The sequence below is a fragment of the Homo sapiens genome, chromosome 13, assembly GCF_000001405.40.
Source record: "Homo sapiens chromosome 13, GRCh38.p14 Primary Assembly".
Classification (NCBI taxonomy): domain Eukaryota; kingdom Metazoa; phylum Chordata; class Mammalia; order Primates; family Hominidae; genus Homo; species Homo sapiens.
In genome coordinates, this window is record NC_000013.11 from 47,264,462 (window position 1) to 47,271,558 (window position 7,097).

At 38.9% G+C, this 7,097-nt stretch overlaps 1 long non-coding RNA gene across 1 annotated transcript; it reads left to right on the forward strand.

Moving 5' to 3' along the window:
• The first annotated feature begins 1,664 nt into the window (after nucleotides 1-1,664).
• On the forward strand, nucleotides 1,665-5,879 carry LOC105370195 (uncharacterized). Its single transcript, XR_941947.1, has 2 exons — nucleotides 1,665-2,184; nucleotides 5,720-5,879. It is a non-coding gene; the product is annotated as an uncharacterized LOC105370195 (long non-coding RNA).
• The last annotated feature ends 1,218 nt before the right edge of the window (nucleotides 5,880-7,097 follow it).

Consider the following 7,097-nt stretch of genomic DNA (forward strand, 5'->3'; position numbering starts at 1 on the left):
TATTCAGATGGTTCAATATTAAAGTGAGAAATGGTATATAAACGACCAAATTTTCTACTGGATTGTTGATCTTTTATCGATTGGTAGAAGCTCTTAATATGTTAAATGAGCCTTTTGTAATAAGACTGCAAATATATTTTCTGAGTTTGTCTGTTTTCTTTTGATCTTTTCATAGTGATTTCTCCATGAATATTTATTTAAAATTTTTATATAGTCAACTTTTTCAATTTTTTCTTTTCTTTTATGGCTTTAGGGTATTGTTTTTAAGTAGAAAGGTCTCCTACACTTTGTGATTATAAATAATTCTTCCATTATTATTATATTTTCCTAATAGTTTTAAGAATTTTTTACAAGTACATTTAAATAATTGATCTATTGAGAATTTATTCTTATATAAAGTGCTGGTTTAGATCTAAGTTATATTTCTCTATATGGCTAACCCAGTTACCCCAATATCATTTAATTCTTAGTATTTTTCTCATTGATTTAAAATACCACTTTCATTTTCTATTAAATTACCCTTGGCATTTGTTTATATGAGTGGATTCTATTTTGTTACAACGTTGCCTCTTCTTGAGCCTGTATCACAATACTATAATTATTTAGGTTGTATGATATGTTTTAGTATCTTACAGGGCTGGTTCTTCTTCATTACTCTTATTTTTCAGAATGTTTTTTACTTTCCTTGACTTGTTTATATTTTCATATGAATTGATAATTACTTTGTCCAGGTGCATGAATAAAATCCTACTGGTATTGATATTGAAATCATATTAAAGCTACAGATTGACTTTGGAGAATTTACATTCTTTTGAGTCTTTGCGATATTGTGTCTTCCTAGTCCATACTTTCCATCTTTGCATTTGTTCATGATTTCTTTTGTCCTTGAAGAGTGCATTAACGTTTTATGCTCATAGACCTTATACATTTCTTGTTTTTCTGTTAATTCTCTTAATTCATGGTATTTAATACTATCTTCAATTATTGATAAATTTACAACTTCTTTAAAATATCTACTCTAAAATGTCAGCAGTTCTGAGCCTGAAGAAACCCCTGTACTACACTGTACTCCCTTCCAGCTACACCAGCCTTCTCTTTGCTCTTAAAATATGCCAAACTTCCCCCATCTTAGGACTTTTGCATGCTGTTTCTTCTCCCAGGAATGCTCTTTTCTCAAGATTTTTACCTAGCTGTCTCCTTGTCTTTCAGGTGTCAGCCTAAATACAACCTCTTTAGACAGTCCTTCCTTGACCAACAGCAAAGGAAGTTTCTTTACAGAACTTATCACTTCTGATACTTTAAAAATGGATTTGATGGTAGTGACTTTTTATGTTATGTACTACTAACTACTGAATCTCTAGTATCTAGAAAAATTCAGTCTGTTGAATTAAACTCGAAATAGCACTTCTTTCCTTTGTCTCCTATAAGGTTTTCCCCATTTGTACTTTTCCTGACATCACATTTTCCTTTTTTTTTTTTTTTTAGGTGGAGTCTTGCTCTGTCGCCCAGGCTGGAGTGCAGTGGAGCGTGATCTTGGCTCACTGCAAGCTCCGCCTCCTGGTTCACGCCATTCTCCTGCCTCAGCCTGCGGAGTAGCTGGAACTACAGGTGCCTGCCACCACACCCGGATAATTTTTTGTAGTTTTAGTAGAGATGAGGTTTCACCGTGTTAGCCAGGATGGTCTCGATCTCCTGACTTCGTGATCCACCGCGCCTGGCCGACATCACATTTTACTTCTGTCCATCAGCTCCTCAGTTTAGGAAAATCTTATCTTCCTAACAAATAGAAAACTCTTGTAGCTCAAATAAGAGGAAAAGATGAGGCCTAATGTTTAAAGTCCTGATGGATTCAAAGCCCTGATGGAGTCTCTCCACTCCTCATACCTGAAGTCTGAATATTTGTCATCTCAGATTATCTACAACTAAGGAGGGAACCTGACTTTTTCTTTGTCCCAGAGTGGGCAGGTTATTCTCCCTCCCAATACAAACCACCTTAAGGAAAAGATACAACTTATTGGCATAAATGGCTGGGATTGTTCTGAGGTTGTTCATAGGTTCAAAGAAATTGCTGCAGGGACTAGAACAAGGCCTCACACCACCAAGATTTTCCTCACTTCTTCAGGCAGCCTTCTGCCTACCTGTCCCGCATGGCGTCATTCCTCAGAAGGCTTCTCCAGGCTCCTGGTAAGATGTGGTCTGGCTGCCTCTTAGTTGACTAACTGTAACTTAAAGAGGGCATCCTTTCCCAAAGAGCTTATATAAAGAGAAAAACTTTTGTTGGCCCTTCATGGGTCACATGTCCATTCTTGGACCAATTACTATATCACAGGAATGAATAAAGAGCTGTGATTGGCCAGGTTCTGCTCGTGTTCCCTTGCCGACCACAGGGGTTGTTTCTGATGCCGATGGGGTTTGAGTGCAGAAGAAATGCATGGACAGGGAAAAAAAGTAGCCAGCAAATCTCCCTCAGGTGCATATTAAGTAAGTGGCTGGAATTTGAGACTTTTCCATTGTGTGTATAATATTTAAAACATGATGTACTGTACATGAGACCTAATTACATAAGAAGGCAGTGAATTAAATAATAGTTGAAGTTTATGTTTTGACATGCTTGTCTTTATTTTAGCACTTTTTATTGTTATGTTCAGAGTTTTTTGAGAATTTGGCATCGATTTTCAGTATTGTGTACCTTTACTGAGATTTTATTACTTTACTTTATTATTATGGTTCAAAATTCCAGTTGTTTAACCCAATCAATGCCTTCCCAGAGGGATTAGGATCATGTAGATCAAGTCCTGTGTCCCTTCTAATTTCCATGAGAAGCTGTGTGACTCAGACAAGGAGGATGGTGACTTGTGGTGTGAATATGTTCCGCTCTGTGAAGAAGATGTCCCAACCTCACTACCAAACTGCCAGGAAGAGTCACATGAAATTTCTAACATGTAATTGAGAAAAGACAGAGCTGGGCCCTCTCCAGAGGGTCTGAGTTCTACTGTAGACTCCATCCACCATTACATCGAAAACTTTGGGAAACCAAGTAAACATCTCAGACCTTTGAGTTGTCTTTATCTGTCAGATGATGGGGATTTTTAATGCCAGTCTCACAGAATTGTGAAAATAATAAACAGACAAACCTTGATTTACAATGGTTTGAATCCAGATTTTTCAACTTTACAATGGGGCAAAAGGTATAAGATACGTTTTTGCAATGCTGGGCAGAACCCACAAGCCACAGCCCCATGGTCATGAGCGTGAAACAATTGATACCCTAAAATTTACTATGTTTCCAGGTGATTTTGCCCAACTGTAATGTTCTGAGCATGTTTAACGTAGGCTATGATGTTTGTTTGATAGGTTAGGCATTTTTGACTTAGCAATGTTTTCCATTTACAATGGTTTACCAGAATATAACCCCATCATAAGATGAGGAGCATCTATATACGTGAATGTACTCTATAACTTGTAAAGCACTATGTGATCATAGTCAAGCTGTTTTAAATCTTTTAGGTAGGCCAGGCATTGTGGGTCATGCTGTCATCCCAGCACTCTGGGAGGCCAAGGCAGGTGTATTGTTTGAGTTCTGGGGTTCAAGACCAGCTTGGGCAACATGGTGAAATACCGTTTCTACAAAAAAAAAAAAAAAAATAGCTAGGCATGGAGGCACATGCCTGTAGTCCCAGCTACTCAGGAGACTGAGGTTGGGGGATCACTTGAGCCCAGGAGGCAGAGGCTGCAGTGAACTGCGCTAGCATAATTAGACTCCAGCCTGGGTGACAGAGTGAGACTCTGTCTCACCAAAAAATAATAATAATAATATTTAAGGTAACAAAATAGATAATCAATACTACAATCATAAATAAAGTTCTAACAAAATACAAAGCATTTATAGTCTGTACTATTCATTTTGTAACACAGCCAGAGATACTTTGCACATTCCCTGTCTGCGTATATGTAAAACTTGTCCTCTTAGAAAGTGTTTCCTTGAAGAAAAAACCAACATGACGTCATATACATTTTCCAATAACAACATAATGTTTACTATATAGCAGGGCCCCTAGAAGGCACTCCATAAATGCATATAATATTGAGTTATGTTGTTGAATCATGGAGTAAGTGAAAGTAGGATTGAGGCAGTTGGAGAGAGGAAGCCTGGGAGCAGTAGTGGAACTGGGGCCTTTAGTTCTTGAATTCATAAAGGTGACTCCAAAAGCAAGTTTAAACAAGATGTTAGTGATCTAGATTAGGATTCACTACTCAAGTCCCACCATACACCTCTTGCCTTCAGAGTTCTGACAGACAGAGAATAAACACAGAGAATTGGACAAAGTAGGGGAAAGAATGAGCTTTAGAAGGGCTTTCCAGAATGGCTAGAGTACAGAATGCAGTGGGGTTTCCTTTACCCAACTCTTAGAAGCCTCCCAGTCTTGACTTGCCCACTAGTTTAGGTAATGGAACTGGAGCTGTATTGGCTTCACTAATTAGGGCCTGCCTGAAAGAATCAGCTAAGCCTAGGCTCTTGAAGGTTGGATTTGTTTCCTATTGTTACTGTAACAAATTACCACCAACTTAGTGGTTTAAAAAAACAAAAATTTCTCATTTAATAATTGTAAAAGTCAGAAGTCTAAAATCAGTCTGGGTGGGCTAAAGTCGAGGTGTTGGCAGAGCTCGTTCCTTCATGGGGCTTCCCACATTCCTTGGCTCCACATCTCGCTCTGCTACCATCATCATATCATCTCCTCTTGGACTTCTTCAATCCTCTTGCCTCACTCTCTTCTAAAGACCCTTGAGGGCCGGGCACGGTGGCTCACACTTGTAATCCCAGCACTTTGGGGGGGCCGAGGCGGGCAGATCATTTGAGGTCAGGAGTTCGAGACCAGCCTGGCCAAAATGGTGAAACTCTGTCTCTACTAAAAATACAAAGAAGTTAGCCAGACATGGTGGCGCATTCCTGTAGTCCCAGCTACTCGGGAGGCTGAGGCAGGATAATCACTTAAACTCAGGAGGTGGAGGTTGCAGTGAGTCAAGATTGTGCCACTGCACTCCACTCCAGCATGGGTGACAGAGCAAGACTCCGTCTCTAAAAAAACAAACAAACAAACAAAACCAAAAAATAAACACCTTGTAATTACATTGGGCACACACAGATAATCCAAGCTAATCTCCCTAAGGCAAGATCTTTAACTTAATCACATTTGAAAAGTCTTTTATTGCCACGTAAAGTAAAAGATTCTCAGATTCTGGGGATTCAGATTTGGAAATCTTTGGAAAGGGCATTATTCAGCCAATAACAAAAGTCTAAGAACTCAAGACAGAGAATGAGAAAGGTGGTGACAGGAACTGCTGCCAGAGGCTTCATGTAGTTGGCCCCACCCTTTATCTATTGCAGTGCAATGACTATCGGGCTTTTCTCTGAGTCTCACCATCAAATTAGCCTCTTCCCCTAAGGGACAAGTCCAGGTGGTGGTAGAAAGAGAATCTAATGCTCCCTCATGAGGAAAGAGGCATCTGTCTTTTCAGGCAATGTTTCCCCACAAGAGTGAGGGAAGAAGCTGCTGGAAACCATGGTTGCCTCCTTTCGGTTCTCTCTAGGGCCACCTTTGAAGAAGGACATAGATATATAGAATGAAGACACTGAACCACAGGCTACTTCCTGCTCACCATCCTTTCTTCTCCCTCTCTCTGTAACCCTTTCAGCTCTTTTCTTTGTTCCAAATTTCAGGAAGAAAAATGGAACTAAAAAGGGAAAACAATAGCAACAAAGATCAAAATAAATAACAAGGAAGCGGAGAGAAGAAAGAACATGGTGAAGAGAGTGAAACGCATTGTCATTTGGGGTGAATTGCAGAAAGAAATAAATTATTGTTCTTATATATAAGTGAGATCATGCAGTATTTGTCTTTCTGTGTCTGGCTTATTCACTTAACATAGTGTTCTCCATGTCCATTCATGTAATTACTAGCCACATGTAGGAGAATGAAACTGGATCCTCATCTCTCATCTTATACAAAATCAACTCAAGATGGATTAAGGACTTAAACCTAAGACCTGAAACTATAAAAATTATTCTAGAAGATAACATTGGAAAAACCCTTCTTGACATTGGTTTAGGCAAGGATTTCATTACCAAAAACCCAAAAGCAATGGCAATAAAAGCAAAGATAAATAGCTGGGACCTAATTAAACTAAAGAGCTTTTGCACAGCAAAAGAAACAGTCAAGAGAGTAAACGGACAACCCATACAGTGGGAGAAAATCTTCACAATCTATGCATCTGACAAAGGACTAATATCCAGAATCTACAATGAACTCAAACAAATCAGTAAGAAAAAAACAATCCCATCAAAAAGTGGGCTAAGGACATGAACAGTAATTCTCAAAAGAAGATATACAAATGGCCAATAAACATATGAAAAATGCTCAACATCACTAATGATCAGGGAAATGCAAATCAAAACCACAGTGTGATACTACCTTCCTCCTGTAAGAATGGCCATAATCAAAGAATCTAAAAACAGCAGATGTTGGTGTGGATGCAGTGATCAGGGAACACTTCTGCACTGCTGGTGGGAATCTAAACTAGTATAGCCACTATGGAAAACAGTGTGGCGATGCCTTAAAGAACTATAAGTAGAACTGCTATTTGATCCGGCAATCCCACTACTGGGTATCTACCCAGAGGAAAAGCAATCATTATTCAAAAAAGATACTTGCACACACGTTTACAGCAGCACAATTCACAATAGCAAAGTCATGGAACCAACCGAAATGCCTATCAATCAACAAATGGATAAAGAAACTCTGAGATATATATGTGTGTGTGTGTGTGTGTGTGTGTGTGTGTGTGTATGATGAAATACTATTCAGCCATAAAAAGGAATGAATTCACAGCATTTGCAATGACGTGGATGAGATTAGAGACTATTATTCTAAGTGAAGTAAACTCAGGAATGGAACACCAAATATCTTATGTTCTCACTGATATGTGGGAGCTAAGCTATGAGGATGCAAAAGCATGAGAATGATGCAATGGACTTTAGGGAGTTGGGGGGAAGTGATAACAGACAAAAAATATGGTGCAGCGTATACTGCTTAGGTGAT